General features: G+C 42.7%; 1 protein-coding gene and 1 pseudogene across 2 annotated transcripts in view, besides 2 other annotated features; one reads left to right on the top strand and one right to left on the bottom strand.

The window, feature by feature from the left end:
* Nucleotides 1-4,925: 4,925 nt before the first annotated feature.
* The window catches only part of APOLD1 (apolipoprotein L domain containing 1), a 65,550-nt gene continuing 44,601 nt past the window's right edge, over nt 4,926-25,874 (bottom strand). The window contains exons 1-2 of one of the 2 annotated variants that reach the window (NM_030817.3): nt 10,698-10,733; nt 4,926-9,483 (exon numbers count right to left, since the gene is read on the bottom strand). In NM_030817.3, coding sequence (NP_110444.3) covers nt 8,740-9,483; nt 10,698-10,700 — 747 coding nt within the window. In that variant the 5' untranslated portion in view covers nt 10,701-10,733 and the 3' untranslated portion in view covers nt 4,926-8,739. Of the gene's footprint in view, nt 9,484-10,697; nt 10,734-25,874 lie in introns of those variants that run through there. The other variant, NM_001130415.2, reaches the window with a different exon arrangement.
* Nucleotides 9,207-9,316: a silencer, noted in NCBI's record as "silent region_4268". NCBI's record gives its function as "represses an Ori minimal core promoter by ATAC-STARR-seq in GM12878 lymphoblastoid cells {active_cell/tissue: GM12878}" and the evidence as "EXISTENCE:reporter gene assay evidence [ECO:0000049][PMID:35858748]".
* Nucleotides 9,347-9,446: a silencer, noted in NCBI's record as "silent region_4267". NCBI's record gives its function as "represses an Ori minimal core promoter by ATAC-STARR-seq in GM12878 lymphoblastoid cells {active_cell/tissue: GM12878}" and the evidence as "EXISTENCE:reporter gene assay evidence [ECO:0000049][PMID:35858748]".
* STX8P1 (syntaxin 8 pseudogene 1) lies at nt 24,691-25,148 on the top strand (annotated as a pseudogene).

Here is a 25,874-nt window from a genome sequence, read left to right as displayed (position 1 = left end):
TGTTCTGAGAAGGAATGCCAGCATATCCATGAGGATAAACTGTGCTTGTTCAGTCAATAAATGCTACTGGGCATCTCCTGTGGCGGGAGCTGAAGAGACACTGGGAGATTTAACAATATCTGTGATGTGGTTTCTGTCCTTAAGAGCCTTGGGGTAGGCACATATATATTTAATAAAATGTATCAAGTGATACGTCTGCATAAGAGACACACAGATTGCTCTTAGACATTCAGATTAGAGCAAGACTGCATCTGGCTGGAGTCAGGTATAGAACTTCAATGAGAGGAATGGCATAGTAGGAACGCAGATAGGGCTTTTGTTTTGGTGCACTCTTCCTGCAACCTTTTTCATTCAGACAATGATTTCATTTGTTTTCATTTGACATAATACCCACCAAATTCAACTTGACCCCAAAGAATCCTTTAGAGCTGGTTTCTTTTTTTTTTTTTTTTTTGAGACAGAGTCTTGCTCTGTCACCCAGGCTAAAGTGCAGTGGTGCGATCTCGGCTCACTGCCAGCTCCGTCTCCCAGGTTCACACCATTCTCCTGCCTCAGACTCCTGAGTAGCTGGGACTACAGACACCCGCCACCACGCCCGGCTAATTTTTTGTATTTTTAGTAGAGACAGGGTTTCACCGTTAGCCAGGATGGTCTCGATCTCCTGACCTCGTGATCCACCCGCCTCGGCCTCCCAAAGTGCTGGGATTACAGGCGTGAGCCACCGCGCCCGGCCGTGGAGCTGGTTTCATCCATACCAACATCCAGTCCAGGACGGGTGAGACCCTGGAAACGAACATGCTCAGTGAAGGGCTGTGTGACAAGGTCAGGGGAATGGCAGCCTGGGTCTGAGGCTCAGGGAAACTTGAACCTTAAGACTGGAGGAGAAAAAAAAGCTGTCAAGGAAACTAAATAAGAAAGGCTGGTGTCACAGAATTCAAGAAAAAGGGTGCTTTAAGAATTGGGTATTTGGCTAGGCGCAGTGGCTCACGCCTGTAATCCCAGCACTTTGGGAGGCCGGGGCAGGTGGATCACAAGGTCAAGAGATCGAGACCATCCTGAACAACACGGTGAAACCCCGTCTCTACCAAAAATACAAAATTAGCCGGGCGTGGTGGCACGAGCCTGTAGTCCCGGCTACTTGGGAGGCTGAGGCAGGAGAATCACTTGAACCCGGGAAGTGGGGGTTGCAGTGAGCCGAGATCGCACCACTGCACTCCAGTCTGGTGACAGAGCGAGACTCCGTCTCAAAAAAAAAAAAAAAAAGAAAAGAAAAAGAATTGGGTATTCAGCAAAGTCAAATGCTACAGAGAAGTTAGAAAGAATTAAAATTAAATAACTGTGTTTGCTATGCAAAACCTCAGGGGACAATGTTAAATTCAAATCAACCACAAAGCATTATGATTTTGAATAGTTTATGATACCCAACATCTTATTCCTATTCATACCTATCTACTCACCCACATACCTCCAACACTTTTAGTCCATAAGCTACTAGACTGCAATTGAGTACACACCCCAACAGGAAGAAATTTGACAAGCAGGGTCAGTAGTAGTTTCAATGGAATGACCCCAAGAAGTTTCATTTTTTGAGGTTTTAAAATCAGATCTAGATAGGCCTGTTCGACCAGTAATTCCTTCATTCATGTCTGTGTCATCTCTACTGATAACTTCAGTTCCAGCGCATCTACAGTTAGCAAAAAGTTCTTATAAATCATGTCCTTCCTCTTCAGGTGTTTTGTTCACCAGAATTTTGCCATGTTTGGGAGATTTGGGGGAGCATCACAAAATATTATTCTGTAAATAGGCTTTGTTTTGTTTTGTTTGAGACAGAGTTTTGCTCTGTCGCCTAGGCTGGAGTGCAGTGGCGTGATCTCAGCTCACTGCAACCTCTGTCTTCTGAGTTCAAGCGATTCTCCTGCCTCAGTCTCCCGAGTAGCTGAGATTACAGGTGCCTGCCACCATGCCCAGCTAATTTTTGTATTTTTAGTAGAGACGGGGTTTCACCATGTTGGCCAGGCTAGTCTTGAACTCCTGACCTCAGTTGATCCTCCCACCTCAGCCTCCCAAAGTGCTGGGATTACAGGTGTGAGCCACTGTGCCCAGCCACCATAAAAACCCATACATAGGTTTTTATGATCAGAGCAAAAGTTTTATAACTTTCAAATCACACCCACACTGTTTATTATAAATACTAGTGACTTGCAAAGCTATATTTTATTTTTTTCTTATTGACTAGCCTACTGGCATAAGATTACTCATCCTAGATGAGACTGTTACTGCCAGGAGATGTTTTTATTTTTTTTGAGACAGGTTCTTGCTCTGTTCCCCAGGCTGGCTGGAGTGCAGTGGCCCAATCACGGTTCACTGCAACCTCGACCTCCTGGGCTTAAGTGATCCTCCCACCTCAACCTCCTGAGAAGCTGGGACTATAGGTGTGCAACACCACACTCAGCTCATTTAAAAATTATTTGTACAGATGAGGTCTCACCATGTTGCTCAGGCTGGTCTCTAACTCCTGGACTCAAGCAACCCACCTGCCTCGGCCTCCCAAGGTGCTAGGATTGGCTAGGCGCAGTGGCTCACACCTGTAATCCCAGAACTTTGGGAGGCTGAGATGGGCAGATCACCTGAGGCCAGGAGTTCAAAACCACCCTGGCCAACATGGCAAAACCCTGTCTCTACCAAAAATACAAAAATTAGCCAGGCATGGTGGTGGGCGCCTGTAATCCCAGCTACTCAGGATGCTGAGGTGGGAGAATCGCCTGAACCCGAGAGGCACAGGTTGCAGTGAGCTGAGGTCATGCCACTGTACTCCAGCCTGGGCGAAAAGAGCAAAACTCCGTCTAAAAAAAAAAAATCAGAAAAGCCAAGAGCATTGGATGGGCACAGCGGCTCATGCCTGTAATCCCAGCACTTTGGGAGGCCAAGGTGTGTGGATCACTTGAGGTCAGGAGTTCAAGACTAGCCTGGCCAACATGGTGAAACCCCATCTCTACTAAAAATACACACACACACAAAAATTAGCTGGGCATGGTGGTGGGCGCCTGTAATCCCAGCTACTCAGGAGGCTGAAGCAGGAGAATCGCTTGAACCCAGGAAGCGGAGGTTGCAGTGAGCTGAGATCATGCCACTGGACTCCAGCCTGGGTGACAGAGCAAGACTCCAAAAAAAAAAAAGGAAAAGAATAGCTAAGAGCATAACTCTGGAGTCAGGCTGCCAGAATTCAAATTCTGGGGCACCTCATGCTGGCAATGCAACCTCTCAAATTCCTTACTTTATCTAATAATATAGGGTAATTATAGTGTGCACACCATAAGATTTTTGTAAGGTAAATGAAATGATACAGGTCAAATCGTACTTAGAAGAGTATCTAGTGAGTTCTCAATAAATGTTAGCTATTGTTATTGTTAAATATCCCACATGTATGTTCAATATTATTGAAATGTCATTTTATTTAAGCACTGAAAAAAATATTGTTTTTAAATGATATTTTGAGAGTGCAGTTTTAATAAAAAGTGAGGGCAGAAAGAAATGTCTGCTTATCAACCGGGGAGCGTAGAAAAAGAAGTTTCGCCTAAAAGAAAGACTTTAGACATCACCCCTACCCTTTTTGTGTAGCTTCTCCCAGTTATAATTATTTTGGTGAATTTGGCAACCGTATTCACACAAATGCTGGAGGAGGCCAGGATCTGGCTGCTCCTGTGTGTAAGGGAGGCAGATGCCTTGGCCGTGACCCATGGCTAAAGCTCAGGGGGAATCAGGTCACAGGCCTGCCTGTCCTCCCACCTCTGGGGTTTTAGTGTAAATACAAAATTGGATTAAACATCATTTTCTGCAGATGTAGCTTCATATAGATAATCTCTATGCGTGCAGGCAAAGACCACATTAGAGGGCCTTCTCTCCACAACCCGGTGCTAATGCTAGTCAGGTTTGGGGGTGCTGAGGACCCCTAATGTGCATTCCTGGACGATGGGTCTCGCTTCATCAGCACGATTTCCCCTCTCCTAACAGCTCTCTGGTTGCTAAGAGATTGTTTTCAGATCTAAGGGCTCACTCTTTGTCCTATTCCAGACCACAGCAGGGTTTACTTTCCCTCTTATGAGTTTGCCAGGAGCAAAAAGTAACATCCCAACCTCCTGTCAACTCAACAAGAGATTTATTGCAATTAACTAAAAGGACACTTGTTACTACAGGAATACCATATGCTTCAGCAAAGATAGGATCCCAGCTTGCGGCTGGCCTCTGCAAACAGTCAGGGGCCTGCCAACACAGCCTTTTTTGGTTGTACAGTTATTAACAGTGCAGCCTCCAGACCCAGGAATGTTTCCAAGGTGCAGCTGGCACTGAGATAGTGAGGTCGTCTCCAGAGTAGTCGTCCCCAACTGGCTGCCGCAACCACAATAGGCTTTTTGTTTAAATTGCTGGACCCCCTACTTAATGATCACCCTCCTTTTCTTTCTTACCAAGAGAATCTTAGGTATATTAGGGGCAGCGTTGTTCTCAGCTAAAAATACTACATTTCCCAGCCTGCCTTGCATGGTCAAGATCGGTGGCTTGCAAGGTGAAGTCCCTCAGAGATTTACGGGAAAGTTTTCTTTCCTGATATACATGCTGCCCTTCACCCTCCCTGCCCACCTCTCTTTAGTGTTTGGATGTTGTGAAGGCTAATTTGGCTGATTCTAGGTTTCCTTTCAATTCCTTCCCAGGTTGTAATTATGTTCAAAGGTTTTGAGACTGCTGGAAGTCTGATTTCTAGGCAAAAGGGAATTCCTGTGTATGCATTGATTATTAAAAAAAAATGATTCATATAGTTTGATCTGAATATTCTAAGTGAAAATGATTAAACATCTGCCCTTTTTCAAAGTTACTAATTCATACACAAGGAAACATAGAACTAGGAAATTAATTACAGAAAGATAAAAAAATTTGAGGAATGAGCAATTTATTTCAATAAAGAGAAAGCATTAATTTTGCTACAGTGGGAAAAAATGAACTCAAGAGTTGCTACATTTAACTGTATCCCCATTTATCTCTGCACGATGTCTTTATCTCAGTGTCTCAATTCACACTAAAATATTGAATGAGAAATACACCACGTTGGCTGATTGCTTGACATGTCTGATTTAGGGAGACTTCTACAACCACTCCTCTCTTTTTTCTCCCAGTAAATACTTTTGACTTTGACACCTACCATATTGGAAATGACAGGTGCCCGAGGGCAAGTGCATCAAAGCAGTTAGGATTCGAATGCTTGCTAAGGATTATTTTTTTAATGGAGCAGTTCTATTGAATCCTGAAAATGCAGAACCCAGTGAATCTCCTTTATTGTGAAACAGAACAATTCAAATGATTGCAAGCCCCAGAACCTAACAGAGAAGCACTTAAACATTTAGAACAAACATACCTATTTTTCAAACTTTGGCATTTTTGTGAAGTACACTTATCATCTAAATACCTCTCTCCCGTCTTCTCTTTTACAACATACCATTTCAACCTGTTTGTTTAAAGAATGAAGGCCTTAAGGAAAAGCCTTATTCACATCCCCGTAAAAGAAAGAAATAAATATTTGTTTCTAGAATCAATCTAACTGAACTTGACTAAATCTTGATAGAGGCTCCAATCTTACTCACACATAAGGCGATGGATGATCTTTTGTTGTCAACAAATTCTCATTAAGATAGCTAAACAGTTAATTATAATTATTCAAATGTATTTCTTGAGTTCCTACTATGTGCAAAGTATCGTTCCAAAGTAGACACTCTTCCTTAGAAATAAAGTGGGCCACTGAAATCATAACTTCAAAAGTCTAGAACTTTTGATACACCCAAAATATGAGAGGAAAAGTTTGCTGCTGCTGTTACTGTTGCTGCTTCCAAAAGTGCCCAGTTTAATTCTAGGGAATAGCTTAGGCATTGGAAGAATATAATTTAAACTTAAGCATTAATAAAAGATGGAGTTAGGGAATGGTTGTACCTTTATGCCATAACACAACTAATAATGTGAAGTACATTCTAAAATGATTTAAAATGATTGTGAAACAAAACAATTCATCTAAAATGAATTGTTTGATCTAAAATGCTAGCATCTGGCCAGGCGAGGTGGCTCATGCCTGTAATCCCAGCACTTTGGGAAGCCAAGGTGGGCGGATCACATAAGGCCAGGAGTTCAAGACCAGCCTGGCCAACATGGCGAAACCCTGTCTCTACTAAAAATACAAAAAATTAGCCGGGTGTGCTGGTGCACATCTGTAATCCCAGCTACTCAGGAGGCTGAGGCAGAAGAATTGCTTGAACCCAGGAGTCGGAGGTTGCAGTGAGCCGAGATCAAACCACTGCAACTCCAGCCTAGGTGACAGAGTGAGACTCTGTCTCAAAAAAAAAAAAAAAATGCTAGCATCTGGGTGAAACAGTCTAGGAGATGACACCAGCTTGAAAAGAAACCAATATAAATTTCAAAATAAACCAGCATACAGACCAATTGCAATTTATAGAAAAAATAAAAATGTAGAAACATCACCTCCTCTCCCCGACCCCAGTACTGAAATTATACTTCCTCAGACATACTGCCCCATCACTGGGAAGGGTGCGGACAGATTGGGTACATTTATAGAATATTAAATAATTAAGTAACAGAGGCACCGTTTTTGCATGTATGGTCCCAAAGACTTTTCAACTTATTTTTCAACATTACAGTTGTTAAGAATGGAAATTGAAGGAATTGTACATATTTTCACTGACAGTTTCTTACAGACCCCAAAGTGAAAATGCAACACATCACCACCATAAGACAAGCGATTTTGTCTGTCACCCAGAAGACATAACTTGATAGGACATCAGGCTTGCAAGTTCTAAGTGCTTCCTTCACATACCTCTAAACTTTTTATCTTTCCTGAACTAAATAGATTCCTTTTCCAGGTCAAGTGATACCTTCTGGCAAAATACCTTCAGGATAAATATGCTTCCTCAGTTATATATCCCACAATGCAAGCTTCCATTACAAGCTTAAACTCAGCTCCTGGTCTTGCCATTCAAGACTCTCCACACTTACTTCAAAGGATCACTTAAAACACTAGAGAAAAAGAATCTCCCTGAAGGAGAGAGACAATCAAGGAAAGCAATGCTATTTCCAGCTCATGCCCTGCCTTAGAAACTCAAACTTAATCTCATCTCTTGCAAAGAGCCTCAGCAGTCTCCCATTTAGAAACTTGCTCTTATTATTTTCTAAATGTGGTGATTAAATAAAATTAAATGCAAACACTAAACAATAATTAAAAATTAAATTACAAACTTAAAATAAATAAAAAATACATGGACTGGCACTTTTCAGAGAAGGTAATAATAGACAAAGGTCAGTTTCAGGAACTTCATATTCCTTTCTGTACCAGTTTCTACAACAGGCGGGAAACACTGCCCCCTAATGGGCTTTTAGTGTTACATCCCTTGTTCATACGGTGAGACACTGCCCCAGGGTGCACGTACGCGTGCTCTCTCTCTCTCTCTCTCATTTTGGCTTCTGGGACACAGTCTGTCCTTGGTCATCTGTGAACGACTCTGAAGACCATGGAGTCCCTAGAGAAGCCGTGAGACTTCGTGAAAGCTCATCAAGGGGATTAGAAGTTAGCATTTGTTGCAGTGATTTTCAAACCTTAGTGTGCCGCAGAACCACCCAGAGAAATTGTTTAAACTCAGGTTGCTGGGCCCCACAGCCAGAGTTTCTGATTCCATAAATCAGGAGGGTTGTGTCCAAGAATTTGCCTTTCTAACAAGTTCCTGGGTGATGTTAATTTGCCATTCCAGGGACTACACTATATGAGCCAGCACCATCATGCTAGGCACTTTGGCTCATTTAATATCTCACAACAGGGTGAGATTTTATCATCTTTGTTTTACACAGTCTCAGAGAGATTAGGTGGCTACACTCACACAGTAGTGACAAAGCCTGTCTCAAGCCCAGGACTGTCTAACTCAAAACCCATCACTCTCTTCTGAACACAATGATGTCGGGAAATGAAGTTGGCAGTCGCTCCATCTATCTGGCCCTCAGCTTCATGTGAGGGAGCAGGACTTAGATGACGGCTTCACGGGCTTCCCCTCTGAGTACTTGGAGGACTGGATTGGGAGCCACTCAGGAAAGGCCTACTTCATACCCAGGCCGCATCTGGGAGTAAGTAAGCTGAGGGGAAAGGGAAGAGGAGGAGATATCAGCACCAGGGTCCTCTCTGGGTTCTGAACCATCCTACAACGTTCAGAGAAGGGCTGATTTGCTCTGGATTCTGGAGTTCTTTGTATCAGAAATTCTGGAATAGAGGCAAACGCCTTCCTCACGCACATTTTGAGGACTTCAAAGACTAGTAGGACTTGGAGAGGACCCAGAGGATGGCACTCTCTCCAGTCTCAGGCCAAGCCACCAGGGCAGGGTCAGGGACCCCGAAATAACTTTAAAACAGGAGTGCCTGCCCAGCTGTGTTTAGACAGAAAGTTTTTGATAAAGGAAAAAGAGTTTTTGGGTCACATTTTTCCACTAGGAAGACTGAAAAGTCCGTAGCACTCAAGCCCAGGCAGATGTCACAGTGATGGGAAAAGAAGGGCTTTGGGGACCTGCCCACTTCAAAAACAGTTTTTCTCATCCTTTGCCTTCGGCTCCTAACCCAGCTTGGTGTTTTCCTAAGGGAGCTACAAATTCTGGAGCATCCCATGAGGATGATTTGCTGGCCTCGGTCATTAGGGGGAAAGGATGTTCTCAGAAAAACAGCCCTGCACGCTGGTCAGCAGAGATCTTGAGGTCGTGGCCACGACTGGACTTGGTGCAGAGCTGAACCCGAGACTCCAGCTGCTCGCTGAGTTCGTCCAGAGCCCCGGTGCAGGACTCCAGGCTCTCGGCCAGTTTCTGAATCTTGGCCTTCAGCACGGCCTGGCTAACCTTGGTGTCCCCCTCCGCCCGCCTGGGGATGAGGAAGCCACGTGAGCCAAAGAAGACGATGAAGTAGACAGAATTGTACAGGGCGATGGAGGCGTTCCTCCCGCACTGCAGCAGCTGGCGGTCCCCGCAGCCCTGCCAGCGGCAGAAAAACTCGAGGCAGCTCAGGATCTCTCGCATCTGGTCCTGGCAGGTGGCCGCGATCTCCTGCACCCTCCGCAGCTCCCGGGAGTTGCAGAAGATCAGCGAGAGATCGGACGTGATGGTGACGGCCCCTCCGGCTGTGGCCACCCCCAGCCCCACGGCCGACACCAGCAGCGAGGTCCCCAGGGTGACCGGGCTGAGCGAGAGCCCCACGATGGCGGCGAGGGCGCCCGTTGCGCTCAGCGAGCTGCCGGCCACGTTGGCTACGAGGGAGCGCCTGCGCAGGCGCTCCAGGCGCCGGGCCACCTCGCGCAGGCGCAGCACCTGGCCGTGCAGCCGGCCTCGGCGGTCCAGCAGCAGTCCCTGGAAGCGCCGCAGCGCGTCGGGCCCATGCGGCTCCCGGGCCGCCGGCCTCTCCATTCCCTGCGGGGACATAGACACGCGGTCAGCCTGGAGTCTCCGTGCCAGCCGCCGCTCCCGCCCTGCTGCCCGGACGCCAGCGGGAACTTGGCACGAGTTCAGCGGAGCAGCCACTGCCACGCTAGGGGAACGGGTCTGTTTCCAGTGGATCATGAGACGAGTTCTCAAAGACCTGTTCTGGAATCCGGGGGGAGCCACACAAGTTCTCAGGACCTTATCTCTGCATATGGAAATAGGAATAATGCTATCTTCTGCTTCTCTCCCAGGGAACGTTAACGATGGGCTTCATCAGCTATGTGTTAAATAAGATTTAAACTGGGAGGGGCGTGGTATTAGAAGGCTTCTCCAGTACTGAGGCCTTTGCTCTACTTAAGATAACACTTTGTAAGTGGTGGGTTGTACAGTTTACAAAGCCCTTTCATCATGTGAAAATTGGATCCTAGGAGTTTTGCAACACACTTTTCTCTCTCTCTAATGAATGAAAAAGACTTCACCAAAACCTCAAAAATCGTATTTTCTACCAAGCAGAAGAAACATCTAAGTTAGATGCTTGCCTGAAGCAACTCTTCTGCTTGTGATTCTTCCAGGCTCTTTTCTTAGAATCAAGCCTAAAATGAGATTTGCACTGTTTATTCTAACTAGGGCTCCTTGGATCTTCAGAAACATCAGTCTTTGCTGGGTGCTTGATTTAAACTAAGTCACATTAAATTAATACCATTATGTCTCTTTGTTATGAAAGTTTTCTTTTAAAAATGAGTAATGGTTGAATAAAATAAAGTGGCCAAAATTTTTGTTCAACAACTTCTACCACGTTGAAGCCAACTGAAGATGACTGACAAAGATACGAACAAGTTGTACATCTTGGGGGAAAAGTATATTCATCCTAGTTGCAGATTCCCACCTTCATGTCCACTGTACTCTTCATTATTAGGAACTTCTTAAAAGTGGCAAATGAGCCATAGAAATAGAGCATTTCAAAACTGAGCTATCAGGGCAGAAATCATTCTCATCTGGAAGAATTGCCTGCATCAGACATCAGATTCTAGAAGCAGCTGATTCTTCACAGAGCCCAGTCTAGAATCCTCATCTCCTTATTCACAGGACTTAATTTTACTTCCATGCTTCCATAATCCAACCCACCAGGGATAATTTTCCAGGTGAAAAGAGAAAATGAGAAAAAGTCATCCCGAATATATGCCTCAGGGTTCCCCACTTACCATTCACTTCTGTCTGCCTCCAGGAAAGTAAAATCTGAGGCTGTTTCTGGATGAGTGTGCTTTATAGTTCCAGAGAACCAATGGCTGCCCTGGGAAAGCCTTGTCTCATTCTGAGAATTTGCCATTTCCTGTCATGACCCCTGCTGCCTTCATCTAGAAGGACGTGACATGGTGGAAAATGACCTGCCAGCACAGCACATCCCGTATTTAGGAAACGAACATTGTGTGTTCGCTTTCCCCTGAACGCAGGAAGAGAACCACAGGCTCTTCCCTAACTTGAAACAAGTGTGTTGTCATTCTCCCAGTGGGATACCCTGCCTTTCCTGAGAATAGCTAATGACGCGATAGAGAAGGCCTTCAAACGCACCCCAGGCTGACCAATTATAGTGTTTCTTGAGGCCACCATTACAAAATCATATTTTAAAAGAAAAGGGAGGGGGTGGAAAACCCTCATATCTGACATAGCCGCTCATACTCCACTGCTGTATTTTTAAAAGCGTTGTGAATCTGTGAGTGGCTGGAGCCTGGGATCATTTGGCATGCAGCGGGTACCCTGCAGTCCTAAGAATGCAAGGCCACACCCACAGGAAGTGCTGCGTGCAGTTTTGGGCATCTCCAGCTGTGGAGAAGACATTGGCGGTCTCAGAAAGGGCACACTCCAGGTCACATGCATCAGAAAAATCAGTGGGGTCAGGCTGCATGAGGAGCTAATTGTACACTTTCAACCACAATAGGGCATTGGCTTCCCAGGTTTTCATTTGAAGTAGCAATTGTAGCCCATGTGATAGGGAAATGAGTGGATTCTGTCTACAGGGTCATGAGGCATGGGCTGAAGGGCAATTATTTTGATAATTCAGCACAGAAAAGTGAATGTAGCTTCTGTGGACTTGCTGCAGACCAGACCAGATGGAACATAGATATCTCTGGGGCATTCAGAGGTGGTTGGAGCTCAGCCTAGGAATTCAGTCCTACTACATGTCCCCAAATCCATCCATCGTCCTTCTAACCCTCTCCTCCAGATAAGGAGGGCCAAATTCGTTTCTCACTTGAATAAGGATTATCTCAACTCTCTGGCTTACCTGGAAAGCCTTAACAGCCGTATCATTCTGGAACATGATTAAATCCCCCACCTTTATGACTATACTTTGTATTTATCAACACAGTATAACAACAGTAGCAACAGAAAGGACAACCATAGTCCTTTCAAACTTGATTATTCTAGATTTGGTCCACTTCCAAATATTCTTGTTACAGCTCCTCAAAGGATAGCTGTAACCTCAATCTAGATGCCTCCAGTGTGTCCTTTTGAGGTTAGAAGTGGAAGAATATCCTCCTCTATCTCCATAGACATGGTCACTCCAAATGGGATGTGGGCCAGCGCGAATTGGGGAGGTAGACAAGAGGGAACATACCACTGATTCTTCAGCTGACACATGTTCCTCTAACTTCCCTGGACATCATCCTGTGTGTTTTGGGTTTAGAGGAACACAATTAAATCTTTATTTTATAGATGAGGAATATTGCTGGGATACAGGGTCTTCCTCAGAGCATCAATATCATAGTACAGAGGTGGGATGAAGAACCAGAAGGTAGAGGAAAATAGACAGCGTGTATACTGACCTCAGCCCATATCTTGGAATTTGTTTTTCTCTGTGTTGAAAGCCCATTTTCTTTGTATTTGCCTCTTTATGGAGGCAAAAAAAATTGAGTTAATTGACAGTTTGGGCTAAAGTTTTACTGCCCATAAAAACCTGGTACTTTGGCCAGTCATGGTGGCCCATGCCTATAATCCCAGCACTTTGGGAGGCAGAGGAGGGAGGGTCGCTTGAAGTCAGGAGTTCGAGACCAGCCTGGTTGACATAATGAGACCCCATCTTTACAAAAAATTTAAAAATTGGCCGGGCATAGTGACTCACACCTGTAGTCCTAGCTATTCAGGACGCTGAGGCAGGAGGATCACTTGCACCCAGGAGGTCAAGGCTGCAGTGAGCTATAATGGTACCACTGCAACACAGCCTGGATGATAGAGACCTTGTCTCAAAAAAAAAGCAAAAAAAAAAAAAACAAAAAAAAACCAACTGGGGCCGGGTGCAGTGGCTCACCCCTGTAATCCCAGCACTTTGGGAGGCTAAGGCTGGTGGATCACCTGAGGTCAGGAGTTCGAGACCAGCCTGACCAACATGGTAAGACCCCGTCTCTACTAAAAATACAAAAAAAACAGCTGTGTGTGGTGGCGTGCTCCTGTAGTCCCAGCTACTCAGGAGACTGAGGCAGGAGGATCACTTGAACCTGGGAGGCAGCAGTTGCAGTGAGCCGAGATCACACCGCTGCACTCCAGCCTGGGTAACGGAGTAAAACTCTGTCTCCAAAAACAAACAAACAAACAAACAAAAAACCCAACTGGTACTTCACCTTGTTTATAAGAACTGACACTTGAACTTAGCGATTCAATTCAGCATTTGTTTACTTTTATTTATTTATTTATTTTTGAGACGGCGTCTCAGTCTGTCGCCCAGGCTAGAGTACAGTGGCATGATCTCAGCTCACTGCAATCTCCGCCTCCCAGATTCAAGCAATTCTCCTGCCTCAGCCTCCCGAGAAGCTGGGATTACAGGCGTGCACCACTACACCTGGCTAATTTTTGTATTTTTAGTAGAGACGGGGTTTCGCCATGTTGGACAGGCTGGTCTCGAACTCCTGACCCCGGGTGATCCACCTGCCCCAGCCTCCCAAAGTGCTGGGATTACAGGCATGAGCCACCATGCCCAGCCAGCATTTGTTTAATTTCATATAGTAAAGACACAATAACAAATTTTAGGAACAAATGAAGGCATTTTGTTCAAAAGTTCTGTGTGGTCAGTTTCCACAAAAAAAAATCTGTGGACCACATCCTCAGACTTCTCTTTTAAATTGTTTGTTGGGCACTTCCAACACATCACCCTAGAGAGACTACACTGAAAATGGTAGTTGGCCTTCAAACTAGCCTTCAGATCTGTTCAACTCTTTTTTTGTTTTGTTTTGTTTTGTTGAGGCAGGGTCTCACTCTGTCACTCAAGTGGGAGTGCAATGGCACCATCACGCCTCACCGCAGCCTTGACCTCCTGAGATCAAGCAATCCTCCTGCCTTATTTTTTGACTTTTTGTAGAGACAAGTTGTCACTGTGTTAAACTCTTGATGCAGCTGAACCGCGGCATTAGCTGTACTAGTTTGAATTCTGAGTCCTCGAACCATGAGGAAATTCAGTGTAGGAAGGACGAGAAAGAGCTTTTTAAGCATAGGAATCTTCAGGCCCCAGCCCTGGAGAGTCTAATTCAAGAGGTCTGGAGTGGGATCTGGGAGAATACAGGTGATTCCTACCTGCAGCCAGGTTTGTGAACCACTGCTCTAGGAACTGGTAGTGTTTGTTTGTTTGTTTGTTTGTTTGTTTGTTTGTTTGAGACGGAGTCTTGCTCTGTTGCCCAGGCTGGAGTGCAGTGGTGCGATCTCGGCTCACTGCAGCCTCCGCCTTCCAGGTTCAAACGATTCTCCTGCCTCAGCCTCCCAAGTAGCTGGGATTACAGGCACGCACCACCATGCCCAGCTAATTTTTGTATCTTTAGTATAGATGGGGTTTCACATTGTTGGCCAAACTGGTCTCAAACTCCTGACCTCAGGTGATCTGCCCACCTCGGCCTCCCAAAGTGCTAGGATTACAGGCGTGAGCCACCATGGCCAGCCAGAACTGGTAGTTTTCTGACCACCAGTTACATGGCAGCAGAAACAGTAAGTCTAGCGGAAAGGACTATGTTAGGAGGTGTTTATACAGTTATCAACAACCCATTTGCTTTAGGCCCCTACTTAAAACTATTACATTTTAAAGATAAAGTATGCCGGGCGCGGTGGCTCACGCCTGTAATCCCAGCACTTTGGGAGGCCGAGGCAGGCAGATCATGAGGTCAGGAGGTCGAGACCATTCTGGCTAACATGGTGAAACCCCGTCTCTACCAAAAATACAAAAAATTAGCCGGGCATGGTGGCAGGCGCCTGTAGTCCCAGCTATTCGGGAGGCTGAGGCAGGAGAATGGCGTGAACTCGGGAGGTGGAGCTTGCAGTGAGCAGAGATCATGCCACTGCACTCCAGCCTGGGCGACAGAGCGAGACTCCGTCTCAAAAAAAAAAAAAAAAAAAGATAAAGTGATAATTACGCTCAAGGCCTTTCAGAGGACTGGGCCACCTCCATTTTTTGAGACTCTCAGTTATTTTATTTTTTATTTTTTTGAGACGGAGTTTCGCTCTTGTTGCCTAGGCAATGACGCGATCTCAGCCTACTGCAACCTCCGCCTCCCAGGTTCAAGCAATTCTCCTGTCTCAGCCTCCCAAGTAGCTGGGATTACAAGTGCCTGCCACCACCCCTGGCTAATTTTTTGTATTTTTAGTAGAGACGGGGTTTCATCATGTTGGCCAGGCTGGTCTTGAACTCCTGACCTCAGGTGATCCACACGCCTCGGCCTCCCAAAGTGCTGGAATTATAGGTGTGAGCCACAGTGCCTAGCCTCTCAGTTGATTTTTAAAAATGAAGAAATTCTATAATGGAATATAAAAAATTGTGGCTTATTTCTTTTAATTGCAATGTAATATATCTTATGTCAGTATTTTGCTATTCACAATATAGTCACAGGATTTATAAAATATTAATTCATAGTGCACCAAGTGGAAAAGTGGCACAAGTTTAAAGTTATGTGATGATGACTTTTTCCTTTTAATACTTAACTGTATATCTCAGTGACTAAATATAGGACCTCTTTTGGAGACATCAAAAATATAAAATTCAGGCCGGGCATGGTGACCCTGCAATCCCAGCACTTTGGGAGGCTGAGGTGGAAGAATCACTTGAGCCCAGGAATACAATACCAGCCTGGGCAACATGGCAAAACCCCATCTCTACAAAAACTACAAAAATTAGCTGTGTGTGGTGGCCTGTGCCTGCAGTCCCAGCTACTGGGAAGGTGGAGGTGGGAGGATCGCTTGAGCCCCGGAGGCAGAGGTTGCAGTGAGCCAAGATTGCTCCACTGCACTCCAGCCTGGGTGGCAGAGCCAGACTCTGTATCAAAATAAATAAATAAATAAAATTGAAATAAAAAATAAAATTGAGACAACTTGTAAATGTGAGGTTTAGTCCAAAGGTCTTGCAGACTTTCCTTTGTCATCTGTTCTAATATGTACATTCACCAAAATAAAAATAAATTCGGCCAGGCACAGTGGCTTATGCCTGTAATCCCAGCACTTCGGGAGGCTGAGGCAGGCGCCTCGGTGGTGTGTGCCTGTAGTCCCAGCTACTTGGTACTTGGGAGGCTAAGCTGGGAGGATGGTTTGAGCCTGGGAGGTGAGGCTGCAGTGAGCCGAGATCACACCACTGCACTCCAGCCTGGGCAATAGAGCCAGACATTGTCTCAAAAAAAAAAAAAGCAAATTAAAATAATAACACATATTCACCTGAGGATTTTTGCCCATGATTTCTTTGAATTTCCCCAGAATGTAAGTGCTCTAGAACATAGTCAAGCTCTCATAGTTGCTTGTTGAATTTAACTAAAGAAAAATGCTTTGTTCACTTAAAGAAATATCATTATTTTATAACAATTTTATAAGAATTTAACATAAAATTTTCTCTTGGACTATACAGCTTGGTATAACTTAGAATACTTATTCTGCAGAAGACCTCTAGGATATCTATATTGCATGGAATCTCAAGTATTATTGTCAAAAATTCATGGAACTGCACAGGAAAATAAAGACTCAACAAGTACTGCACTCCAGCCATTTTCATTCCTCCAAATTAGCCTCCAATCTTTGTTAATGTACACACACATCCTTAATCACTAGTGTTTAAACACTAGCCTGTGTTCTTTTTTCTACTTAACGTTCCTGCAGATAGATACACACTTGTCTATGTTGACATAGTCCTCACCTCTGTCATTTTTTAATAGCTATGTAATAATCCCATTGTTTGCTTAGTCATTTCCCTGTTAGACACTTGGATTGCTTCCAGGTTTTTCACTGTTATAACTAGAGTTGCCAGGACATCTGTGTACATTTTTTTTCCTTTGGATTATTTCTTTGAGGAGTATTCACAAACGGGAAAATACCAAGTCAAGGAGAATGACCATCTTCATCGTTTTTGTTATATAGTGCTATATTGCTTTCCAGAAGAACCCATTTATAATGCCACCAGCTTTTGTAAGAATAGAGGCAGAAGGCTTTCAGAATTTGCTTATATTAATGTTTAATTTGTTCGATTTCAGCTCCACTAATGTGTATTGAACACCTACTGTGTGCCAGACATCAGGCTAGAGTCTGGGGACCAAAAGCTAAATAAGATATAGTCCCTGCCCTCCAGGAGACGGCAAATCTATTGGAAGAGAAAAAGACAGAATATATCATTTAAATTTAAGGTGGGGAAGTGCCGGGGTGTGTGCTGGTACCAAGAAAGCACAGGGCAAATACATGCCCAGGAAGTACTAGGGAAGACTTTCTGGGAGCACTGATATTGAGCTGAATCTTGAGAGTCAAACAGAAGTTATTTGGACAAAAATTAGGAGAGAGAGGAGGGCAGTCTGGACAAAGGAACAGAATGGACAAAGGAATGGAGGAGTGTCCAGGGTGTTTAGTGTTGCTGAACATAAAGTGGGAAGCAGGGAAGGCCAAAGGATGAGGCTTAAGGGGTAGGTAGAAGACAAGTCATGACAGCTTTCCAGTGCCATGTGGGAAAGAGGGAGCCATTGAAGGCTTTCATCTGTGGCCTTACAAGGTTAATTTGACATTGTTGTGTGACAGTTGTGTGAAGGATGGTTCTCAGAGGTACACAACTAAAGCCAGGAGACAGTTAGAAGGTTATTGAAGTAGTTGACAGAGATTATCTCAGATTTGGCTAATGTTGGTAGGATGCAATGGAGTGGATAAAGTACAGAATATGTTTTGGAAGCAAAATTGACTAATCATTCCTAAGGCTGCTCAGACAGGGTAGCCATCACATCCACTGGCATTCTATTGGCCAATCAAGTTGTGGCCAACCCAACATTAAAGGGGTAGGAGCTAGGCACACTGGCTGGCTCCTGTAATCCCAGCACTTTGGGGGGCCGAGGCAGGAGGATTGCTTGAGCCCAGGAGTTTGAGATCAGCCTGGGCAACACAGTGAGAACCCATCTCTATAAAAAAAAAAAGAAATTAAAAATTAGCCACACGAGGAGGTGTGCACCTGTAGTTTCAGCTACTTGGGAGGCTGAGGTGGGAGGAGTGCTTGAGCCTAGGAGGGCGAGGCTGCAGTGAGCCATGGTCACACCATTGCACTCCAGCCTGGGCAACAGACTGAGACCCTGTCTCAAAAATGTAAAATAAAATAAGCAAAAAGATAGAGAGGTATATGCCTCCCACAGGGAGAAGCAAGCAGAAGAAATGTAAACCATCAGATCATTGTCAGGATGCTTTCCTGGCCAAGTACAGTGGCTCACACCTGTAATCCCAGCACTTTGGGAGTCCAAGGCTGGCGGACTGCTTGAGCTCAGTTTAAGACCAGCCTGGGGAACATGGCAAAACCTTGTCTCCACAAAAAAATAAAAAATAAAAAAAATAGCCAGGTGTGGTTGTGCACCCCTGTGGTCCCAGCTATTCAGGAGCCTGAGGTGGGAGGATCGCTTCAGCCCCAGGAGGCAGAGGTTGCAGTGAGCCGAGACTGCACCACTGCATTCCAGCCTGGGTGATAGAGTGAGACCCTGTCTCAAAAAACAACAACAACAAAAAAAAAAAAAAAAAAAAAAAAAAAAAAAAAAAACACCTTTCCTTGTAGAGAAGATATTTCCAGGTGAACTGTGACACCATCATCCACCTCCTATACCCTCTTCCTCTTCAGTTTGTTCTTTGGAATTGCCGTCTCCATCTGGATACACAGGTTGAGACGTTGAATTTCCCTAATGCAAAAATCTGAAATCTGAAATGCTGCAGTGAGCATTTCCTTTGAGCGTCACACTGGTGCTCAGTAAGTTTTGGATTTTAGAGTGATGCTCAAAGGAAATGCTCACTGGAACATTTCGGATTTCAGATTTTTTAATTAGGGATGCTCAATTGGTAAACATATAATGCAAATATTCTAAAATCCTGCCAAAATTGAAATCCAAATCACTTCTAGTCCCAAACCTTTTGGTTAAGGAATACTCAACTTGTAGTAAAAATCTCGCTCTGGCTAATATAAGCGAATTATTGCTATGAGACTGAGGGAACACATACTTGAACATGGGAAAGGACCATGGAGTTCTAAAGAACCAAGAAACTGAAAGGACATCAGTCGTTTTGTAATTGGAACAGCCTGTGTGATGAAACTGACCAACCACTCTTTCCTTTTGTCCTTGTATCAGTTTAAGAATCAAAGTTCCAGGAGTGACCACTGGGTTGGCTGAGCTTAGGTCAAGTGCCCATCTACTGTCTGCACTGGGCAGGGAGAAGAGGGGTGAATGGCCTTCAGCTTTCAAGTGGGAGATGGTAAAAGAACTTGACCTTCCCACCCACATTACATATATACTCAGGGAGAAGTTTCACACTAGGAAATTACAATGGGATTGCTATGTCAGGGAAAGGGAAACTGATGGTTAGATAAAACTAAAAAGAAAATATCCACAATAAACATTTTAGCCTAATTTGACCCACCTGGAGTTTATTATATACAGTGCATAGCGGGTGCTAATTCTTCTTCAGATGAATATAATTTTGATCATTTTTTATTTAAAAAATACACTTTTCTATAGATGTGTTATTGCTGGCTAGTCTTATATTGATTTGTTACCATTGTTAATATCTACTTCTAGGAAATCTATTCCACTAAACAGTTTACCTGTTTTTAATTCAATATAATATGATTTTGAATGTTACTGCTTCATAATCCGATTTTTTATTTTTAAAGGGAGACTCAACCTTCATTGCTTTTTGCTGAGGGAAAAAGGCATGTATCTTTGCTAATCTTACTTGCTTTTCTTTTGGACATATCTGATGCTGGGAACTCTTTAACTGTCCCAGGCTTCCTAATGTGTGCAGTTTAAAGTTTGCTCCGCTTCCTCCTCCACAGGTGTGCGCACCTGCACAGAACACCTGGGATCCTGTGGGTGAAACCTACACTATATCATTAATATAGAATCGTTTGCCCCATGGGCCCTATTACGAAATATCTAGTTTACCACATGCCTTTTCTTCTGGTGCCAGAAAGACTGCAGCTGAGTCCACATCCCTCCAGTAGCCATAAAGATTCTCTTATCTTCCAGGATACTGGGAAACAATTACCTTTGTCTGGCCCTTTCTCAGGCTTAGTCATTATCTTCCGAGTTCTCAGACATCTACAACAGTATTGCAGCCTGGATTATAACACCTGCTTGTTTTGTATCTACAGAGGCATCATAAATCTTAAGCTTTCCCTTAGCTTTTAGACTATTTGAATGGTTTAATTTGTAATATGCCTGTTATAGGTGAGAGAATGTTGGATACTTGTTTTCTTTTCTAACTTTGTTTAAAGTCTATTTTTAGTAGAATTCAGTCGGTTCACATTAAGCAATATGATGAAGCAAGGGGTGTATCTTCTAACACCCTGAAAGTTGGTCATTATTATTCTCCTTATTTGCTTTTATTAATTTAGTTTTGTTTGTTTGTTGTGTTTTTTTTTTTTTTTTTTTTTTTGAGACTGGGTCTCACCCTGTCACCCAAGCTGGAGTGCAGTGGCATGATCATAGCTCACTGTAACTTTGAACTCCTAGGCTCAAGCAATCCTCTCACCTCAGCCTCCTGGGTAGCTGGGACTGCAGGTGCACACCCCCACACCCAGCTAATTAAAGAAAGAAAATTTTGTAGTAATGAAGTCTCACTATGTTGCCTAAGCTGGTCATGAACTCCTGGTCTCAAGCAATCCTCTCGCCTTGGTCTCCAAAAGTGCTGGGATTACAGGCATAAGCCATTGTACCCAATCGTTTTTTAAAAAATGTAGTTTCTATGGTGAGTTTTCAACTCTATTTGCTCTTGAATTAGGTAAGAAAATGATTTTATGTAATCTATTTTCCTCTCCAAACTTGCTTTGTTAGACTATTTTTTAGAGCAGTTTTAGATTTGCAACAAAATTGAGTGGAACATACAGAGACACCCCGTGCTCCCTGCCCTCACACATGCATAACTTCTCCCATTATTGCCAGTGCCCACAGAGCAGTACCTATGTTACAATTCATGAACCTACATTGGCCCAAAGTCTGCAGTTTACATTAGGGTTCCTTATTGGTATTGTACGCTCTGTGGGTTTGAAAAATGTTTAATGACATGTATCCACCATTACTGTCTCATACAGAGTAGTTTACCTGCCCTGGAAATCCTCTGCACCTCGCCTGTTCATCCCTCCCTCCCTCCTAACCCCTGGCAACCACTGATCTTTGATCACTGTCTTCATAGTTTTATCTTTTCCAGAATGTCATTAGTTGGAATCACAGCATGTAGCCTTTTCAGATTGGCTTCTTTCATTTACAGACATGCACTTAAATTTCCTCCACATCTTTTCGTGACTTGATAGCTCATCTCTCTTTGGCACTGAATAATGTCCCATTGTCTGGATATGCCACCATTTATTCACTCAGCTACTGAAGAACATCTTGGTTGCTTCTGATGTTTGGCAATCACAAATAAAGCTGTGGTAAGCATCTGTGTGTAGCTTTTTGTGTGGACATAAGTTTTCAATTCCTTTGGGTAAATACCAAGGCACATGACTGCTGGATCTTATGACGAGAGTATGTTTAGTTTTGTAAGAAACTGCCAAACTGTCTTCCAAACTCATCATACCATTTCAAATTCCCACCAGAAATGAAGGAGAGTTTCTGCTGCTCCACATCCTCATCAGGGAATTTAGTATCGTCAGTTCTAGATTTTGGCCATTCTAATCAATATGTAATGGTACCTCATTGCTGTTGTGATTTGCATTCCCTGATGACATATGATTTGGGACGTCTTTTCATATATTTATTTACCACCAATATCTTCTTTGGTGAGGTGCCTGTTAAGGTCATTGGCCCATTTTTTGTTCAGGTTCCTTGTTTTCTTTCTTTTCTTTTCTTTACTTTTCTTTTCTTTCTTTTTTTTTTTTTTTTTTTTTTTTTTTTGGAGTTAGAGTCTCGCTGTGTCACCCAGGCCAGAGTGCAGCAGTGTGATCTTAGCTCACTGCAACCTCTGCCTTCTGGGTTCAAGCCATTCTCCTGCCTCAGCCTCCCGAGTAGCTGGGATTACAAGCACACACCACCATACCCAGATAATTTTTGTAGTTTTTGGTAGAGACGGGGTTTCACCATGTTGGCCAGGCTGGTCTCAAACTCCTGACCCAAAGTGATTCACCCTCTTCGGCCTCCCAAAGTGCTAGGATTACAGGTATGAGCCACCACACCCGTCCAGGTTCTTTTTCTTCTTATTGTTGAGTTTTAAGAGTTCTTTGTATATTTTGGATAACAGTCCTTTATCAAATATGTCTTTTGCAAATATTTTCTTCCAGTCTGTGGCTTGCCTTTTCATTCAATTCACAGTGTCTTTTGCAGAGTAACATTTTTTAATTTTAATAAAGTCCAGTTTACCAATTCTTTCTTTCATGGATTGTGCCTTTGATGTTGTATCTGAAAAGTAATCACCAAGTCCAGGGTCATCTAGATTTTTTTCCTGTTATCTTCTAGGAATTTTATAGTTTTATGTTTTACTCTTAGGTCTGTGACCCATTTTAGGTTGATTTTTGTGAAGAGTGTAAGATCTGTGTCTAGACTCATTTTTTTCTGCATGTGGATGTCAGGTTTCCAGCACCATTTGTTGAAAGACTATCTTTGCGCCATTGTCTTGCTTTTGCTCCTTTGTCAAAGGTCAATTGTCTATATTTATGTGGGTTCACTTTGGGGCTCTCCATTCTATTCTATCGGTCTGTTTTTCTAGTCTTTCACCAATACCACACTGTCTTGATTATTGTAGCTTTATAGGAAGTATTAAGTCGGGAAGAGGTTCATTGATTTTATTAATCATTTCAAAGAACCAGATTTTGATTTCCTATTTTTAATTTCATTGATTTCTCCTCTGATTTTTATAATCTTTTCTCCTACTTTTCATTTATTTATTTAACAGACACGGTCTGTCACCTAGGCTGGAGTACAGTGATGCAATCATAGCTCACTGTAACCTCAAACTCTTGGGTTCAAGTGATTCTCCCACTTCAGCCTCCTAGGTAGCTGGACTACAGGCATACACCATCATGCCTGGTTAATTTTTTAATTTATTTGTAGAGACTAAGTCTCACTATGTTGCCCACCCTGGTTCTTGAACTCCTGGCCTCAAGCAATCTTCCCACTTCACCCTCCCAAAGTGCTGGGATTACAGGTGTGAGACACCATAACTGGCCACTTCTACTTAGTTTAGACTTAATTTGTTCTTCTTTTTCTAGATTCCTAAGGTGGAAGCTTAGATTATTGATTTTTAGATCTTTCTTCTTTTCAAATATACGCATTCAATGCTACAAAAATTTCCCTGTAAGCACTGCTTTTACTGCATCCCACAAATTTGGTAAGTTGTGTTTTTCATATAATTTTTTTTTCTTTTTTAGAGACAGGATATCACTCTGATGCTCAGGCTGGAGTGCAGTGGTGCGATCATAACTTACTATAACCTCGAACTCCTGGGCTCAAGTGATCCTCCCACCTCAGCCTCTCGAGTAGCACTACAGGAGTGCACCACCATGCCTGGCTTTCATTTTCATTTAGTTTAAAATATTTTAATTTTCTCTTGAGAAGAATAAACAAATAAAATTGTATTGTTCAATCTCCAAGTATATTGGGATTTTCCAACTACCTTTCTGTTATTAATATCTAGTTTAATTTCATTGTGGTCTGAGAGTAGACATTACATTATTTTCATTCTTTTAAATGTTGTTAAGTTGTATTTTATAGCCCAGAATGTGGTCTATGTGGGTAAATGTTTTATATGACTTTGAGAAGAACATGTAACCTGCTACTGTTTAATAAAGTCATCTATAGATGTCAATTACATCCAGTTGATTGATGGTGGTGTTGAGTTCAACTATGCCCTACTGATTTTCTGCCTACTGGATCTGTCCGTTCCTGAGAGAGGGATGTTGAAGTCTCCAGTTATAATAGTGGATTCATTTATTTATCCTTCCAGTTCTGTCAGTTTTTGCTTCACAAATTTTGACACTCCGTTGTTAGGTGCATACACTGGGTAAAGGATTGTTATGTCTTCTTGGAGAATTGACCCCTTTATCACTATGTAATGTCCCTCTTTCTTCCCACTTTCCTTGCTCTGAAGTCTGTTCTGTCTGACATAAGCATAGCTAATTCTGCTTTCTTTTGATTAGTGTTGTCAGGGTGTATCTTTCTCTACCCGTTTATATGTGTCTTTATATTTAAAGTGGGTTTCTTATATACAACATATAGTTGGGTCTTGTTTTTTGATCCAGTCTGACAATCTCTTTCTTTTAACTGGTGAATTTAGACCACTGACATTCAAAGTGATTGTTAATACGGTTTGGTTAACATCTACTATATTTTTTATTGTTTTCTATTTGTTGTTCTTGTTCTTTGTTCTTATTTTTATCTTTCACTCTTTTTCTCTTTTGCCTTTTGTTGTTACAATTGAGCGTTTCATATAAATTATTTTTTTCTCATTTTTTAGCATATCAGTTATGCTTCTTTTTTTTCTAACCTTTTTAAATGATTGCCCCAGAGTTTGCAATATACATTTACAATGAATCTGAGTCACTTTTGAATATGCCATACCACTTCACAGTTAGTGTGAGTACCTTATAATAAAGAAATAATCCTAATTTCTCTCTCACATCTTTTGTATCATTGTGGTCATTTGTTTCACTTATACATAAATATACATAGCTATATATATGCAATATATAATCTAGAACATTATTGCTATTATTATTTTGAACAAACTGTTATCTGTTAGGAAGTGCCCAACCCTTGGCTCTTTGAGGAGCCAGAGGAGACAAGAGGCTTGGGTTTCAATGAACTCTGACAATAGCAAGCAGAAAATTATCAAAGAACAGGACACAGGCCTCGATGCCATTTCCTCCATCATAAGTTGCCAAAAACAAATGGGGCAGGAAATTGGGAATGAATTGGATGGACAAAATGAGATAATTAACATCTCTGCCAATTTGCTGGAAAACACAGATGAAAAACTTTGCACTGAAACCAGGCATTTGAACATGGTGGACAGAAAGTCAACCTCTTGTGGGATAATAATGATGATTTTGTTGCTGCTTATGGCTATTGTAGCCATTGCAGTCTGGCCAACAAACTGATGGCCATAAGGGGGCCACCAGGCATGACACCTGCTAATGGTAGATAAAAGCCCAGCACCTTTTTCATACACAAAATCTGCTCTAATAAATTCCCCCAAAGCTCTGAAAAAAAAATGTTATCTGTTAGAGCAATTAAAAATAAGAAAAATAAAGTTTTTAAAATTTTATCTTCACTGACTCGGATGTTCTTTCCTTCTTAATGTATATCTGAGTTTCTGACCTATATACTCTTTCTTTTTTCTAAGGAAATTCTTTTACTATTTCTTGCAAGGCAACAAATTCCCCCAATTTTTGTTTGTCTGAGAAGACCTTTATTTCTGTGCCACTTTTAAAGGATGATTTCACAGCGTACAGAATTCTAGGTTGGTGGGATTTTTTTCTCTCAACACATTAAATATTTGACTCCACTCTCTTCTTGCTTGCATACTGTCTGAGGAGAAGTTGGATGTAATTCTTTTCTTCTCTATAAGATTTTTTAAACCTCTGGTTTCTATATGGATTTTTTCTTTATCTTAAATTTTCTGTAGTGTAAATATGATATACCTAGGTGTAGAGTTTTTTTTTTTTTTAACATGTATTCTTATTGGTGTTCTCTGAGCTTTCTGGATCTGTGATTTGGTGTCTGACACTGGCTTGGGGAAATTCTCAATCACTATTGTTTCAAATATTTATTCTGTATTCTCTTTCTTCTCCTTCTGGTATTCTCATTACACACTTATACCTTTTGTAGTTGTCCTACAGTTCCTGGATATTCTTTTCTGTTGTTGCTTTTTTTTTTTTTTCAGTCTTTTTTTCTCTTTGTTTTTCAGTTTGGGAGGTTTCTCTTGAGATA

This window comes from Homo sapiens, chromosome 12, assembly GCF_000001405.40.
Source record: "Homo sapiens chromosome 12, GRCh38.p14 Primary Assembly".
Taxonomy (NCBI): Eukaryota; Metazoa; Chordata; class Mammalia; order Primates; family Hominidae; genus Homo; species Homo sapiens.
The sequence above is the reverse complement of the archived record's forward strand: the minus strand, read 5'-3'. Positions and strand labels throughout refer to the sequence as shown.